Here is an 18,024-nt window from a genome sequence, read left to right as displayed (position 1 = left end):
AAACTATTTCAAAAAATAGAGGAGAGAGTACTTCCAAACTATTATTGGTAAATTTCATACCCCTTCATGATAAAATTCTCCAAAACCAGGGATAGAAGGAACATACCTCAACATAATAAAAGCCAAATATGACAGACCCATAGCTAGTATCATACTGAATGGGGAAAAACTGAAAGCCTTTCCTCTAAGATCTGAAATATGACAAGGATACCCAGTCATCACTGTTATTCAACACAGTACTGAAAGTCCTAGCTAGAGCAATCAGATAAGAGAAAGATATAAAAGGGATCCAAATTGGAAAGAGGTCAAATTATCCTTGTTTTCAGATAATATGATCTTATATTTGGATAAACCTAATGACTCCACAAGAAAACTATTAAAACTGATAAGCAAATTCAGTAAAGTTGCAGTATACAAAATCAACATACAAAAATCAGTAGCATTTCTGTATGCCAACAGTGAACAATGTAAAAAAGAAATAAAAAAGTAACCCAATTTACTATAGCAAATCTAAAATTAAATATCTAGGAATTAACTTAACCAAAGAAGTGAAAGATCTCTATCATGAAAACTGGAAAACAGTAATGAAAGAAATTGAAGGGAGGTTCCACGATGGCCAAACAGGAACGGCTCCAGTCTACAGCTCCCAGCATGAGCAACACAGAAGATGGGTGATTTCTGCATTTCCAACTGAGGTACCAGGTTCATGTCACCGGGGCTTGTCAGACAGTGGGTGCAGCCCACAGAGTGTGAGCTGAAGCAGGGCAGGGCATTGCCTTACCTGGGAAGTGCAAGGGCTTGGGGAATTCCCTTTCCTAGCCAAGGGAAGCCATGACAGATGATACCTGGAAAATTGGGTCTGACATCAAGCTGCAAGGTGGCAGCGAGGCTGGGGGAGGGGCGTCCAACATTGGAGAGGCTTGAGTAGGTAAGCAAAGCATCTGGGAAACTCGAACTGGGTGGAACCCACCACAGCTCAAGGAGGCCTGCCTGCCTGCCTCTATAGACTCCACCTCTGGGGGCAGAGCATAGCTGAACAAAAGGCACCAGAAACTTCTGCAGACTTAAATGTCCCTGTCTGACAGCTTTGAAGAGAGTAGTGGTTCTCCCAGCATGGAGTTTGAGATCTGAGAACGGACAGACTGTCTCCTCAAGTGGGTCCCTGAACCACAAGTAGCCTAACTGGGAGATATCTCCCAGTAGGGGCTGAGTGACACCTCATATGGCCAGGTACCCCTCTGAGATGAAGCTTCCAGAGGAAGGATCAGGCAGCAACATTTGCTGTTCTGCAATATTTGCTGTTCTGCAGCCTATGCTGCTGATACCCAGACAAACAGTGTCTGGAGTCAACCTCCAGCAAACTCCAACAGACCTGCAGCTGAGGGTCCTGACTGTTAGAAGGAAAACTAACAATCAAAAAGGACATCCACACCAAAACCCCATCTGTACATCAGCATCATCAAAAACCAAAGGTAGATAAAACCACAAAGATAGGGAAAAACCAGAGTAGAAAAGCTGAAAATTTTAAAAATCAGAGAGCCTTTTCTCCTCCAAAGGAATGCAGCTCCTCGCCAGCAATGGAACAAAACTGGACAGAGAATGACTTTGACGAGTTGAGAGAAGAAGGTTTTAGATAATGGGTAATAACAAACTTCTCCGAGCTAAAGGAGGATGTTCAAACCCATCGCAAAGAAGCTAAAAACCTTGAAAAAAGATTAGATGAATGGCTAACTAGAATAAACAGCATAGAGAAGACCTTAAATTACCTGATGGAGCTGAACACCATGGGGCAAGAACAATGTGATGCATACACAAGCATCAGTAGCAGATTCAATCAAGTGGAAGAAAGGGTATCAGTGATTGAAGATCAAATGAATGAAATGAAGTGAGAAGATAAGTTTAGAGAAAAAAGAGTAAAAAGAAATGAACAAAGCCTCCAAGAAATATGGGACTATGTGAAAAGACCAAATCTACGTCTGATTGGTGTACCTGAAAGTGACAGGGAGAATGGAACCAAGTTGGAAAACACTTTTCAGGATATTATCCAGGAGAACTTCTCCAACCTAGCAAGGCAGGCCAACATTCAAATTCAGGAATTACAGAGAATGCCACAAAGATACTCCTCGAGAGAGCAACTCCAAGACACATAATTGTCAGATTCAACAAAGTTGAAATGAAGGAATAAATATCAAGGGCAGCCAGAGAGAAAGGTCAGGTTACCCACAAAGGGAAGTGCATCAGACTAACAGCGGATGTCTCTGCAGAAACTCTACAAGCCAGAGACAGTGGGGGCCAATATTCAACATTCTTAAAGAAAAGAATTCTCAACCCAGAATTTCATATCCAAACAAACTAAGCTTCATAAGTGAAGGAGAAATAAAATCCTATACAAATGCTGAGAGATTTTGTCACCACCAGGCCTGCTGTACAAGAGCTCCTGAAGGAAGCACTAAACATGGAAAGGAACAACCAGTAACAGCCACTGCAAAAACATGCCAAATTGTAAAGACCATCGATGCTAGGAAGAAACTGCATCAACTAACAAGCAAAATAACCAGCTAACACCATAATGACAGGATCAAATTCACACATAACAATATTAACCTTAAATGTAAATGGACTAAATGCTCCAATTAAAAGACACAGACTGGCAAAAGGGATAAAGAGTCAAGACCCATCTGTGTGCAGTATTCAGGAGACCATCTCACATGCAAAGACACACATAGACTCAAAATAAAGGGATGGAGGAAGACCTACCAAGCAAATAAAAAAACAAAAAGAAAAGCAGGGGTTGCAATCCTAGTCTCTGATAAAACAGACTTTAAACCAACAAAGGTCAAAAGTGACAAAGAAGGCCATTACTTAATGGTAAAGGGATCAATTCAACAAGAAGAGCTAACTGTCCTAAATATATATGCACCAAATACAGGAGCACTCAGAGTCATAAAGCAAGTCCTTTGAGACCTACAAAGAGACTTAGACTCCCATGCAATAATAACGGGAGACTTGAACACTCCACTGTCAACATTAGACAGATCAATGAGACAGAAAGTTAACAAGGATATCCAGGAATTGAACTCAGCTCTGCACCAAGCAGACCTAATAGACATCTACAGAACTCTCCACCCCAAATCAACAGAATATATATTCTTCTCAGCACCACATTGCACTTATTCCAAAACTGACCACAGAGTTGGAAGTAAAGCACTCCTCAGCAAATGTAAAAGAACAGAAATTATAACAAACTGTCTCTCAGACCACAGTGTAATCAAACTAGAACTGAGGATTAAGAAACTCACTCAAAACCCCTCAACTACATGGAAACTCAACAACCTGCTCCTGAATGACTACTGGGTACATAACGAAATGAAAGCAGAAATAAAGATGTTCTTTAAAACTAATGAGAACAAAGACACAACATACCAGAATATCTGGGACACATTTAAAGCAGTGTGTAGAGGGAAATTTATAGCACTAAATGCCCACAAGAGAAAGAAGGAAAGATCTAAAATTGGTACCCTAATATCACAACTAAAAGAACTAGAGAAGCAAGAGCAAACACATTCAAAAGCTAGCAGAAGACAAGAAATAACTAAGATTAGAGCAGAACTAAAGGAGAAAGAGACATAAAAACCCCTTCAAAAAAATCAATGAATCCAGGAGCTGGTTTTTTTAAAAGATCAACAAAATTGATAGACCACTAGCAAGACTAATAAAGAAGAAAAGAGAGAAGAATCAAATCGACGCAATAAAAAATGATAAAGGGCATATGACCACCAATCCCACAGAAATACAAACTACAGTCAGAGAATACTATAAACCCCTCTACGCAAATAAACTAGAAAATCTGGAAGAAATGGATAAATTCCTGGACACATACACCCTCCCAAGACTAAACCAGGAAGAAGTTGAATCCCTGAATAGACCAATAACAGGCTATGAAATTGAAGCAATAATTAATAGCCTACCAACCAAAAAAAGTGCAGGACCAGATGGATTCACAGCCAAATTCTACCAGAGGTACAAAGAGGAGCTGGTACAATTCCTTCTGAAATTATTCCAATCCATAGAAAAAGAGGGAATACTCCCTAACTTATTTTATGAGGCCAGAATCATCCTGATACCAAAGCCTGGCGGAGACACAACAAAAGAAGAGAATTTTAGACCAATATCCCTGATGAACATCGATGCAAAAACCCTGAATAAAATACTGGCAAACCGAATTCAGCAGCACATCAAAAAGCTTATCCACCATGATCAGGTTGACTTCATCCCTGGGATGCAAGGCTGGTTCAACATATGCAAATCAATAAATGTAATCCATCACATAAACAGAATCAAAGACAAAAACCACATGATTATCTCAATAGATGCAGAAAAGGCCTTTGACAAAATTCAATAGCCCTTCATGCTAAAATCTCTCAATAAACTAGGTATTGATGGGATGTATCTCAAAATAATAAGAGCTATTTGGGACAAACCCACAGCCAATATCATATTGAATGGGCAAAAACGGGAAGCACTCCTTTTGTAAACTGGCACAAGACAGGAATGCCCTCTCTCACCACTCCTATTCAACATAGTGTTAGAAGTTCTGGCCAGGGCAATCAAGGAGGAGAAAGAAATAAAGGGTATTCAATTAGGAAAAGAGGAAGTCAAATTGTCCCTGTCTGCAGATGACATGATTGTATATTTAGAAAACCCCATTGTCTCAGCCCAAAATCTCCTTAAGCTGATAATCGACTTCAGCAAAGTCTCAGCATACAAAATCAATGTGCAAAAATCACAAGCATTCTTATACACCAATAACAGACAAACAGAGAGCCAAATCATGAGTGAACTCCCATTCACAATGACTTCAAAGAGAATAAAATACCTAGGAATCCAACTTACAAGGGATGTGAAGGACCTTTTCAAGGAGAACTACAAACCACTGCTCAAGGAAATAAAAGAGGATACAAACAAATGGAAGAACATTCCATGCTAATGGATAGGAAAAATCAATATCATGAAAATGGCCATACTGCCTGAGGTAATTTATAGATGGGAGGGATAGCATTAGCAGATATACTTAATGTAAATGACAAGTTAATGGGTGCAGCACACCAACATGGCACATGTATACATATGTAACAAACCTGCATGTTGTGTACATGTACCCTACAACTTAAAGTATAATATAAAGAAAGAAAGAAAGAAATTGAAGAAGACACCAAAAGTGGAAAAATATTGCATGTTCATGGATTGGAAGAATCAATATTTTTTAAATGCCTTATACTACCCAAAGCAATCTACAGATTTAATGCAATCCCTATCAAAATACCAGTGACATTCTTTACAGAGATAGAAAAAACAATCCTAATTTTTTTTGGTTCCATGTATGAAACCTCAAAAGACTCAAAATAGTCAAAACTATTCTAAGCAAAAAGAACAATACTGGAGGAATCACATTACCTGACTTCAAATTATACTACAGGGATATAGTAACCCAAACAGCATGGTACTGGCATAAAAACAGACACAGAGACCAGTGGAACAGAATAAAGAATGCAGGAACAAACCCACACACCTACAGTGAACTCATTTTTGACAAAGGTGCCAAGAACATACACAGGGGAAAAGACAGTCTTTTCAATAAATGGTGCTTGGAAAACTGGATATCCATATGTAGAAGAATGAAACTAGACCCCTATCTGTCACCATATACAAAAATCAAATCAAAATGGGTTAAAGACTTAAATCTAATACCTCAAACTATGAAACTACTACAAGAAAACAGTGTGAAAAATTTCCAGGATATTGGTCTGGGCAAAGATTTCTTGAGCAATACCCCATAAGTAGAGGCAACCAAAACAAACATGGACAAATGGGATCACATCAGGTTAAAAAGCTTCTGCACAGCAAAGGATACAATGAACACAGTGAAAAGACAATCCAGAGATGAGATAAAATATTTGCAAACTACCCATCTGACAAGGGATTAATAACCAGAACATATAAGGAGCTCAAACAAAAAACTCTATAGGAAATAATCTAATAATCTGATCAAAAAATGGGCAAGAGATTTGCATAGACATTTCTCATAAGAAGACAAACAAATGGCAAACAGGCATATGAAAGGTGCTCAACATCACTGATCATCAGAGAAATGCAAATCAAAATTACAATGAGATACCATCTCACCCCAGTTAAAATGACTTTTATCCAAAAAACAGGCAATACCAAATGCTGGCGAGGATGTAGAGAAAAGGGAACTCCTGTACACTCTTGGTAGGAATGTAAATTAGTACAACCACTACGGAGAACAGTTTGAAAGTCCCTCAAAAAACTAAAAGTTTAGCTACCATGTGATCTAGCAATCCCATTGCTGAGTATATAACTTAAAAGAAGGGTCATCTGTGTAGGATAAGGAAATCAGTATATTGGAGAGATAATTGCACTCCTGTGTTTGTTGCAGCACCGTTTACAATAGCTAAGATTTGGAAGCAACGTATGTGTCCATTAACAGATGAATGGATAAGAAAAATGTGGTACATATACATAATGGAGTAGTATTCAGCCATAAATAAATGAGATCCAGTCATTTGCAACAACATAAATGGAACTGAAGATCATTATGTTAAGTGAAATAAGCCAGACATAGAAAGACAAACATCATATGTTCTCACTTGTTTGTAGGATCTAAATGTCAAAGCAATTGAACTCATGGACATAGAGAGTAGAAGGATAGTTACCAAACGCTGAGAAGGGTAGTGGAGAGCTGGATAGTGGGGAGGTGGGGATGGTTAATGGGTATGAAATAGTTAGAAATAATGAATAAGACCTACTATTTGATAGCACAAGAGAGTGACTATGGCCAATAACTTAATGGTATGCTTTAAAATAATGTAAAGAGTGTAAATGGATTGTTTGTAACTCAAAGGGTAAATGCTTGAAAGGATGGATACCCCATTCTCCATGATGTGCCTATTTCACATTGCAAGCTTGTATCAAAACATCTCATGTACCCTATAAATACACCTACTATGTACACACAATTTCTTTAACTTAAAAAAAGAAAGTAAAATAAAGTACTTTCAGATAAACAAAAAACATCGCAAACATACAGAAACAGGAATATTATAATGAGTATACATCTAGCCATCACCAACCTTTAGTTGGTATTAGTATTTAACTAATAATAGTTAAATACTATTATTATGCAGTATATTTCCTTTTGGTATTTTTGAAATAAATAGAGCAATACAATAGAAGCACATGTGTACTCTTCCCTCAATTCCAGCCTCATCTGGGGAACTGTAGAAAATATTCTTTATAGGCCAGGCAAAGTGGTTCATGCCTATAATCCCAGCACTTTAGGAGGCTGAGGCAGGAGGAGCAGTTCAGGCCAGGAGTTCAAGGCTGCAGTGAGCTATCATCTATCCACTGCACTCCAGCCTGTGCAACAGAGCCAAATCCTGCCTCTAAAAATTAAAATTAAATATAATAAAGAAAATATTCTTGATAGATTTTAGTGCTCCCTAACTGTATACAAGTTTGTCTTTCTTAATTGACAACAAAATCAATGTAGAGTTTCTTTTTATGTCTAGTGTGTCACTCAATCTTTTTCATAAAAAATATATTTTGCATGTTGGTTTAATCTGATTCCACTCAAAAAACTGAATATCCTTTGAACATTCTATCATATATGCTGAGGGGCAAGTGCAAAACTATCTTGAAGGCCTCTCAAAAGTGATCTGATTGGCTACTTGCACTGCTCTTTTAAAATTCTCTTTTACCACTTAGTATTCAACATACATTGGTAAGATTGACAGCTCTTCTTGGTCATGCCACGTGAATCTCTGTCCATGAAGTACACAATACTTGTTCAACACACATAAAAAGATCAGCCATGAGTATTAAGGGAAAGCACTCACAAAGCTCTGAAAAAAGTAAAGAAGTTGGACTTTAACTGATTATATTCAATTAAATACAAATGTGCTTGCACAAGTACAGTCATGTCACTTAATGACAGGGATAGGTTCTGCAAAATGCATCGTTAGGCAGTTTTTGTCGTGCAACATCACAGAGTGCACTTACACAAACCAAGATGGTAGAGCCTACTGACACACTTACTTTATAGTATAGCCTATTGATCTCAGGCTATAAACCTTTACAGCATGTTACTGTACTGAATGCTGTAGGCAAATGAGCAAATGGTAAATATCTGTGTATCTGAACCTATCTAAACATAGAAAAGGTACAGTACAAATATGCTATTATAATCTTATGGGACCTCCATCCTATATGCAATCCATCCTTCGCCGAAACACCATTACGCAGTGCATGACTGCAAAGCTGCAGAAGTAGAGGCAGAATTTTTTTTAAAATAAAAGTTTATTGGAATGTCGGAAACATCTACCTCTAGGGAAGGAATATTTCAAATATTCTTTTCAGTCTCTAATTTTGATTAAAGTTCACATCATTGCCTTCTATCTCTGGGCAAGTAGCCATTTCATCCTAAATTATTCTGGCAGCCTTCAAAATTTAGTGAAGGTTAGAAAGTTTCTTCTAGTAATGAGTGAAAAATTGAAGTTCCTGGTGAAGGATACGCTAGTTGGAGTTTTAAAGCCTGCAAACTTTTACTTGGCATTTGAAGTTTACAAACTTCAATTTTCTTTTCAAAACTGTCCTTGTCAAGGAACCCCTGCATTTCAATTGTGATAAAAAGAATTTCATAGGCCAGAGGTAAGAAAATTGGCTTTTGAAGAACAGGTAGACAAAGCGGAATATTTGATTACTTGTGTTTTAATATCCAGTTTTTAACTAGATTTGGAAAAAAATGGTGATAGCTGCTTCTGATGCAAAACACCATTTATTTCCACTGATATAATTTGAAAACTGCTGAACTAGTTATCACCAAACTTTTCAATGGAATTTGTCACCAGCCCTGGAGCAAAAATGACTGTAGCCTTCACACTCTCATTATTGTAGATGTGGGTGTGTTTCAATGTATACAATCCTAATAGAATTATACACTGGCATATGTAGAAAAGCTTTCATTTGGCAAGTAATTTGATATATGTCGAGACTTCATGTTTGAGTGATTCAATCTTTAGAATAAATGGTCATAAGTAAGGACCTGAGAACAAAGTTTTGCAAAATCTCAAATATAATCATCCCACTCTCCAAATACCATATTTTACTTTTCCAGCTTATTACCTCTGATTCGCTGACTCTAACAGTCAATTGAAATCATTTGAATCTACAATTCACGACCCTCCTTATCCTCGCATTCCCTTTTTCCTTCTCACCTATCTAAATCTCATGCTCTCTCATAGCTGCCTCATTCTCTCCAGCACCACCTTTTCACTGCACTGCACCGCACCACCAAGATCCCCACTGCCAGACAGAGGCATTCATTGTATGATGCTAAGTCTGTTGGTTGTTCCTGGCCCACAACTGAGTGTCATCCCCAGGAATTTCCATCCACAAAAGAGAGCTAACTTGCCCAAGCCTACCCCTCCCCTCCAGGGTAAGCTTACATCCAATGACTGGTTGATGTTGGCGTACAAAGCCCAGCACTTTTTTGCCTCCATTAAGGACATTTCTGAAGGGCCATCTCAGCTCTGTTCTCCCAATATCAGCTAAGAGCTGTGTTCTGTCACAGCCATGTGGCATTTCAGCCTCTTCCTGTGCCTAATCCTACCCTCTTTACTCCCATGCAGGTCTCTTGCCCCAACTGCTGCCCTATAAAACACCTGCATACAAATCTCCACCTCCAAGTCTGTTCAACAGGGAATGAGACTTAAACAGTTGCATGAAGAGTGGTGCCAGAGAGCAGATTCTAAAGTCCAGTTTTGGAAAGGGATCATCTGTCTCCAAGCTGGCAAAAAGGACAACATCACTGGTGGGAGGTGGAGTTATGACAACCCTAGAATGCTGCAGTGCTGTGATTATTAAAACTACCATTGGTGGCAAGCTGAGATGGGATATCCATAGTAAAAGTACACTGGCAGGTACTATGTCTCAAGCATTTGAGAGATTTAGGAAGTACTAATTATATAGAACTATATAGAATTGGATGGGTGTTGCTGGGGGTTATTAAAGCATCGTAGAAAGATAATGAAAGGCCAACAGTAGTTAATCTCCAATTTAAGGTGAACAATGAAAGCTTCCTTGGCAACATGCAGAGTCTTTCATCTTCTGCAGCTGGAGAACAGACAAATCTGAAGGTGAGGCCCAGGACTTAGTTGGTAGTAGAGTGCCATATACAGTTGAATTCTAAAACCTGTAAAGTCTACTACACCAAGACTAGGACTCTGAGAAGTAATGTGACTCTGGGCCTTGAGATGGGAACATGTAGATATTTGAAAATTTTGAGTGACTAGATTTCTTGAACATTTTCATACTATGTCAAACTTTGAGTGACTAGATTTCTTGAACATTCTAGAGCTATAGATCTGGTCCACTCCTTTTTACTAAAGGCCAGTGTTCTCCCCTTGACTAAAGAAGAATCAGCTTCAAAGCTCACTAAGGTGGTTGGCAGAATTTATTTTCTTGTAAATGTGGGACTGAGAGCTTCAGATTGTTTTTGCTTATCAGCCAAAGGCTTCACTCAGCTACTACATGCCATCCACATAGCTCCCTGGCATGTGTCCATAGATGGCTCACAATATAGAAGTTTGGATTATCAAGGCTAGCAGAAGATCAGTAGAAGTCTACCAGCAACACAGAGCCTTATATACCACAATGTAATCATGGGAGTGACATCCCATTACCTTTGCCATATCCTACTAATTAAAAGTACCTCATACGGCCGGGTGCAATGGCTCACGCCTGTAATTCCAGCACTTTGGGAGGCCAAGGTGGCAGATCACTTGAGGCCAGGAGTTTGAGACCAGCCTGACCAATATGGTGAAACCCCGTCTCTACTAAAAACACAAAAATTAGCTGGATATGGTGGCATATGCCTGTAATCCCAGCTACTTGGGAGGCTGAGGCATGAGAATCCCTTGAACCCAGTATGCGGAGTTTGCAGTGAGCCAACATTGCACTACTGCACTCCAGCCTGGGTGACAGAGCGAGAATCTGTCTCCCAAATAAAAAAGTATATCATTGATGCCACACACATTTTAGGGGAGGAGATGTCACAAGGGCACAAACATCAGAAGGTAGGAATCATTGGGGATCACCTTAGGGTCTGTTTTATTATTCTCTTGATAACTTTTCATACTATATCAACAAATAGAGTAGTCATGGCTCATGAGGGGCATGGTGACCAGAGGTTCAGAATCCCGATGGATTAGGGTTTGAATACCTCCCAAGTTAGCTGTCTAGACTAACAGAAGTGCTAGTCAAGGATAGCACTAAAGGATAGCACTCAAAGTCTATAATGGGTAGTAGGGAATAATGTATCAGTTGTGGCCCCAAGACCAGCTAAATTTTAGCAACAGAGACTGTAGTTCACCCTACCAATTTCCCTCTTATAGGTTTCCCCAGGAAAATAGACCATCTGAAACCCTGGGGTAGCTGTCCTCAGATAGTGAGAATTTATCATATGAAGTGAGTGGGTTTCAGTTGCACAAGGGGTGGGCTATAATGAATGCTGTGGTATGCCTCCCAGATCCTCTTTTTAGTACTGAAGGAATTATTTTCCCAATTACCAGAAGTGCTGCCTGCTGATGACTCACAGCTGACTCCTTCCCAGCATTGTCCTCAGCCAGAGGGAACTACCCTATCCAAAGTTACCCTCCATCCCTAGGGGCAGCCCACATCCCAAGACTGGCTAAAATTGGGATACAAAGGCACTCTGCCCCCTTTCCTCAACTGAAGCCATGTTTCAAGGGTCATTCCAGTTTCAGAGTCCTGACAATCTCTGAAGGCAATATCAGAAATCAGTTCTGCTCCCTCCTTCTCTGCAAATCTGCTACCCTTACTCCCTTAGAAATAGTTTTCACAAGAATACTCCCTGCAAAACCACCTGCATGAAAATGTCTGCTTCTAAGTCTATTTCCTAGGGAAGATAACCTATGACACTTGGCTAAATCACTGCCTGGTTAAACACAGTTCCTTTCTCATTCCATCTTTACTTTCATGCAGTTGTTGACGACTGAGAAAAACACACAGCAATGCTTACTGGCATCACTTCAAACTCAAGATTACTAACTTCAACCATTTGAAGTTGAACCCTTAATGCTTCCCAGAAATCTTACTATATTTACTTTGGGCATATCTTCATTTCACACTCTTTTAGACTACTATTTCACTTCTTTTTTCTTTTCTCAAATCTCCAACACCTCCTCTCCATTCTCACTTCCAACTGGCATTTTTGCTTTTTACTTTAATGAGAACATACAAGCATTCAGAATAGAACTTCTACACACTCCCACTTCCTCATCTACTTACCTGCCTGCACTTATGCATGTTACTCTTTATAACATGCATGTTCCTGGCAAGGGCCACTTCCTACACAAGTAAAAATTTATTCCAGCCCCTCTTTCCTCAAGGACACTGCTCCAGAAATTCCCAGTTCATTCCCATGCATAATATTGTTTTGCCTTTCTATTAGATATTATCCATTTGCACACAAATATAATGCTGTGTTTTCCTCTCAACAACATTTTATTGTCCAATCTTCTTTTAAGTAAAGACCTTCAAAAGAGTGGTCTATACTATTTCCTTGATTCATCCCTTCACGTTCCTTTTTGAACCTACTCCATTATGGCTTTTACCATCTTCATTCCATAGAAACTATTCTTTGGAAGGTCACCAGTGACCACCATGTTACCAAATCCATCTGACAATTTTTTTTTGAGATGGAGTCTCGCTCTGTTGTCCAGGCTGGAGTGCAGTGGCACAATCTCAGCTCACTGCAACCTCTGCCTCCAGGGTTCCAGTGATTCTCCTGCCTCAGCCTCCCGAGTAGCTGGGAATACAGGCATGTGCCACTACACCCAGCTAATTTTTTGTATTTTTAGTAGAGACGGGGTTTCACCATATTAGCTAGGATGGTCTTGATCTCCTGACCTCTTGATCTGCCTGCCTCAGCCTCCCAAAGTGCTGGGATTACAGGCGTGAGCCACTGTGCCTGGCAATCCACCAGACAATTCTAAATCCTCATCTTGTTCAGGATCATTTAATATAATCACTCCCTCTTTTGTGAAGCACTGTATTCACTTAACTTCTAGGATTTAATACTGTCCTGGATATCCTTCGACCTCACTGGACACTCTTTCTTGGTCTTCTCTACCAACACTCACCTCATCATCATGATGGCTTATTGTTGGAGCACCTTAGGATCAGTCCTCTGCTCTGTTGAGGCTTCCCTCCCTTGATAAACTCATGCAGCCTTATGCTCGTAACAACAATATAAAAGCTAATAGCTACCATGTTTACATTTTTTACCCAGAGCTTTCCTCTAAACTCCAGACATAAATATTTTTTGTGACATCTATACTGGAATGTCTAAAAGACATCTCAAACTTATTATGTTCAAACCTAAAATCCAGTCCTTCATCCCAAACCTTCTCCTTCTAAAAAAGTCCTTCCTATCTCAGTTAGTGGCCACTTTATCTTTCCATTTTCTCAATCTATAAGCCCTGGAGTTATTCAAGAATGTAGTCATTCACATACTACATCCAATCCCTCAGTACATCTATCAAGTGATTTTTTTCAAGGTGTATCCAAAAGCTGGCCATGTCTCATCCCCTCAGCCATCTTCCTGCTCTAAGTCACCATTTCCCTTCACTTTGTTATTGCAGTGGCCTACTAATAATTCTCCCTGAGATAGTTCCACTTCTTTACATTCTGTTCTTAATACAACATCCAGGGTAATCCTGCCAAAACAGAAGCTTCCTCATGTTACTCATCTGCTGGGTACATTCCAATGGCTCCCTGACCCACTCAGGGTAGAAGTCAATGCCCATATAATGGCCTATCTGCCCTATACATCCTGCATCCCGTCAGCTCTCTGAACTCATTACCCAGAACTCACCTCCCCTCATTTCATTTTAACCATACTGCCCTCAAGCATCCAGGCACTTCCCTGCCTTCAGGCCTTTGCAGTTGCTATTTCCTCAGCCTGTAATGCTTCCTTCTGGAGAGCTGCTTTTTTTTCTCATCTCCTACAGATTGTTATCCAAGTGTCACTTTCTCAGTGGGACCTTCCCTAGCCATATTGTGCCCCTTCCTTCACTCATGCTTCCTATCCCTCTTTCCCTCTTTCTTCTACCTTCATAGCACTTTCCTTTTTCTAACATACTATAGTGTAACTACTTGTTTTGTGTTATCTGTCTTCCCTAAGTAGACCTAGGTTTCATAAGGGGAGAGATTTCTTATTTGTTCAGTGTTTGTATTCCTAAGGCCCAGAATAGCTTATAGCACATAGTAGATATTCAACATTTTCTGAATAAATGAATCAATACAGGAATGAATGAATGAGTAAATGAACTAATGAATGAATAAAGCTAAATGCTTCTGAATCAATCAGGGCCTCAAGCAGGAAATAAATGGAAAAAAATCAAATAGGGAAACTTAGATAAATTTGAAATAGGGGCTTTTTATAAATATGTGTAGGATTGAAGGGTGCCAGTCAGGGTGGTGCAATACCCAGGGCCAGGCACAGTGGGAATTGTTATTCTTATACCTAAAGGATCAAGGGAAGGTATCAGATGCCAGAATGTGAAAAGAGTCACTATAAAATCAAGCTGCCCAACAGAAGTTGTAGCCTTCAGTAGAAACATGCAGTCAATCAAAGGTGACCAGTAGGGAAGCAGGGAAAGAGCCTGGTCCAGTAGGGAAGGAGCCAGACCTCAGCCTCCTCTTGCCCCCATCTATCCTGCAAATTCTTCCCCTTAGCAAAGCCTAGCTGCAAGTTGGAAGACAAGAAAGTCTCCCAGTAGAGTCCCTAATAGCCAGAGCTCAAGTACAAATAGGGTAGGAAAGTTTGGGGGGTGAGTTTGGAGAGGAAAAGGAAAAAAAATTGTATATTTGCATTTATTCTTTTTTATTTACAATTTCTTACTTGGATGGGACAAAACGAAAGCATTATTTAAAAATTAGCATACATTTGTTGTAGAATATAAATTTTGTTTATACTAAAAACTAAGTATTTTCACATTGCTTATGTATCACTTATTCCTTATGTATCACTTATTCCTTTCTTTATAAAATAAAAATATGTAATAATTAGAAGGTTTGGATTTTTTTTAACTTTAAATCATTACAGTTCATATTGTTTTCTCAAAATCAAACACTAACCTTTAAGAGAATGTCTAAAGGCTACACTCTTTGGCCTGTTCTGTTTAGGTGACTAGAAGAAATAGCACTGGGATTTGCTAAAGGGATCCTTGGAAATTTTTTGAAATAAGTCTTATTTTTTTAAACAAATGGAAGCAAAGTATAATGAAAGGAACTGAAGCAACAGCCATGCTGTGGAAAGATAAAACTCAGCCCAGGCTAAAAATAGTATCCATAACTGCTGATGAGAAAAAGGCACATCTGGTAGAAATAATGCATTTATCAGGTGGCACTTTTGAGAAGGTGCCTGCAGCATTCAGGACATTGTAACTATACCACTATGATGATACACTTAAGAAGCTGGAGTAGAAAATAAACCAAGAACATTATTCATAATGTTTAGGGTATAATGTAAATGGTGTTAACTTTCTGTCTTCTAGAAATGGGGCTTTCTATTTGTGAAAGAGGCTTCCCCTGCCTTCATTGAGCCTTTATTTTTAAAAAGCTTTTAAAAAAGTAAAAAAAGAAAAACACACATCTATAAAGAATGTGTAATTGATGACTCAACAAGGAGGTTAGGTAAGAGGTACTAGTTATTGGAAGGACTTTGGCTCAATTCTGAAGGCTCAAATGTGAGTTCTGCAGGCCTGGAGGGTGATGGCATGATACAGGGTTGCGTCATAATTCCAGAGAATTTTATAGTGATTCTCTTTGGAGAGTCCTGAATGTGGTGGTGTTGCTTCTGTGCCCTGTTGAGCATTCATTTCCTATGGAAATGCTGAGAGGGTAGTGTGAAGGTTAATACTGAGTGTCAACTAGATTGGATTGAAGGATGCAAAGTATTGTTCTTGGTTGTGTCTGTGAGGGTGTTGCCAAAGGAGATTAACATTTGAATCAGTGGACTGGAGAAGGCAGAGGGTCATAATTCCAGAGAATTTTATAGTGATTCGCTTTGGAGAGTCCTGAATGTGGTGGTGTTGCTTGTGTGCCCTGTTGAGCATTCATTTGCTATGGAAATGCTGAGAGGGTAGTGTGAAGGTTAATACTGAGTGTCAACTAGATTGGGTTAAAGGATGCAAACTATTGTTCTTGGTTGTGTCTGTGAGGGTGTTGCAAAAGGAGATTAACATTTGAGTCAGTGGACTGGAGAAGGCAGACTCACCCTTATTCTGGGAGGGCATGATTCAAATCAGCTGCCAGCATGGCCAGAATAAAAGCAGGCAGAAGAACTTGGAAACACTAGACTGGCTTAGCCTCCCAGCCTACATCATTCTCCCATGCTGGATGCTTCCTGCCCTCAAATATTGGACTTCAAGTTCTTCAGCTTTGGGACTCAGACTGGCTTCCTTGCTCCTCAGCTTGCAGACAGCTTATTGTTGGACCTTGTGATTGTGTGAGTAAAAACTCCTTAATACACTGCCCTTTATATATACATCTATCCTATTAGTTCTGTCCCTCTAGAAAACCATGACTAATACAGGTAGTTTTGTTTTCCTTCTGAATTTTGCTGCTGAGCAACGTATCTTTCTCTTCTTTAAACTTTGAGTTTTTGGAATTTGTGATCTATTTGTTTCCTTCCATTTCTCTCACAAACTCAAACATGCTACCTTTGGCCCACTCTTTTTGCATCTTATTTCCTCTCTACCATAGTTTATTAGCAAAGAACTTGTGCTCAGGGTGATAGTTACTATTTGTCCAATCAATGTTTGCTGATTTCCAGTAAATCCTATGGCCAAATCACTTGGTCACCTTTTATTCTTTCTACGAATTCCTGGCATCTCTGAATCAATGGTCCTACCTTATTGTTCTTTTCCAGCTCAGTAAATCTAAACTGTAAATAACAAAGAAATGTGCTTTTCTCCGTTCTCTTTAGCCTCAAGACTGACTCAAAACTTTATTTTCTTCCTCTGCATGCAACTCAGATTCAGACTTATGGTGGTCTAGGTCTTAATTCAGCCTCATCTAACCTACCTCAAACTCTGCTCCATCTATGGTCTCTAGACTGTAACAGATTATTTTCTTTGCATTCTCTACAGAATTGGGTGATAACATAAGAGAACCCTAGGGCAGCTTAGTTTAGGGAGCTATTAATTTGGACGTCACTGCTTGTGTGCCCATATCGACATGCATTTGCTTATGGAAATAGGTATCTATGCCAGGGTCCCGCTCCATTAATTATCACATCTGGCCCTTATAACAACGCTGCAAAGTAGGTATTGCTCTTTCTATACCACAGATTAAAATTCTAAGATTTAAATAAGTTATTGGTCAGGAGCATCCTCTTGATAAGTGGAAGAGATATAAAATGAAACTACTTATCTAAATTAGTGCTTCTCAACCCTTGCTGCTCATTGGAGTCACCCATATCAGGGTTTGTTAATATTTCCTGTATACACATTTCACTGAGAATCTTGGTGAAATGCAGATTTATGCTCTAGGGTAGGGCCCCAAATTCTGCATTTCTAACAAAGTCACCGATGATGCCAGTGCTGCTGGTGGTCACAGGACATACTTTGAGGAGCAAAGGCCTTGAGTGCTTTAAAGAAAATGTTTGTGCCAGACCCCACTAAACTATTTAGTCTTTAAAGATGGGCACCAGGCACAGAGATTTGTTAATTGTTGCCTAGGAGACTAATGCCTAGGCATAATTGAAAACTACTGGTCTGACATCAAAGTTTGCATGTATTCCACTATAAACAATGTCTTCTAATAAGAATTTATTTTACTGAAGTCTGTCTATCTAAGTAGTACTTTACATGCTACTTGTCAATGTATCATATAGTTAAGAGAGGGAAGGGAGATGTG

The 18,024-nt window shown here is 39.3% G+C and overlaps 1 long non-coding RNA gene across 1 annotated transcript in view, besides 1 other annotated feature; it reads right to left on the bottom strand.

Annotated features, from left to right (window-relative positions):
- LOC124902062 (uncharacterized) overlaps positions 1–18,024 on the bottom strand; it is a 28,795-nt gene that overhangs the window by 8,504 nt on the left and 2,267 nt on the right. The gene's annotated exons all lie outside the window — the stretch shown is intronic.
- Positions 9,901–10,402: an enhancer, noted in NCBI's record as "NANOG hESC enhancer chr8:35838029-35838530 (GRCh37/hg19 assembly coordinates)". NCBI's record gives its function as "activates a minimal SCP1, AML or CMV promoter by ChIP-STARR-seq in naive H9 embryonic stem cells {active_cell/tissue: H9 hESC(naive)}" and the evidence as "EXISTENCE:reporter gene assay evidence [ECO:0000049][PMID:30033119]".

This window comes from Homo sapiens, chromosome 8, assembly GCF_000001405.40.
Source record: "Homo sapiens chromosome 8, GRCh38.p14 Primary Assembly".
Lineage (NCBI taxonomy): Eukaryota > Metazoa > Chordata > Mammalia > Primates > Hominidae > Homo > Homo sapiens.
The sequence above is the reverse complement of the archived record's forward strand: the minus strand, read 5'-3'. Positions and strand labels throughout refer to the sequence as shown.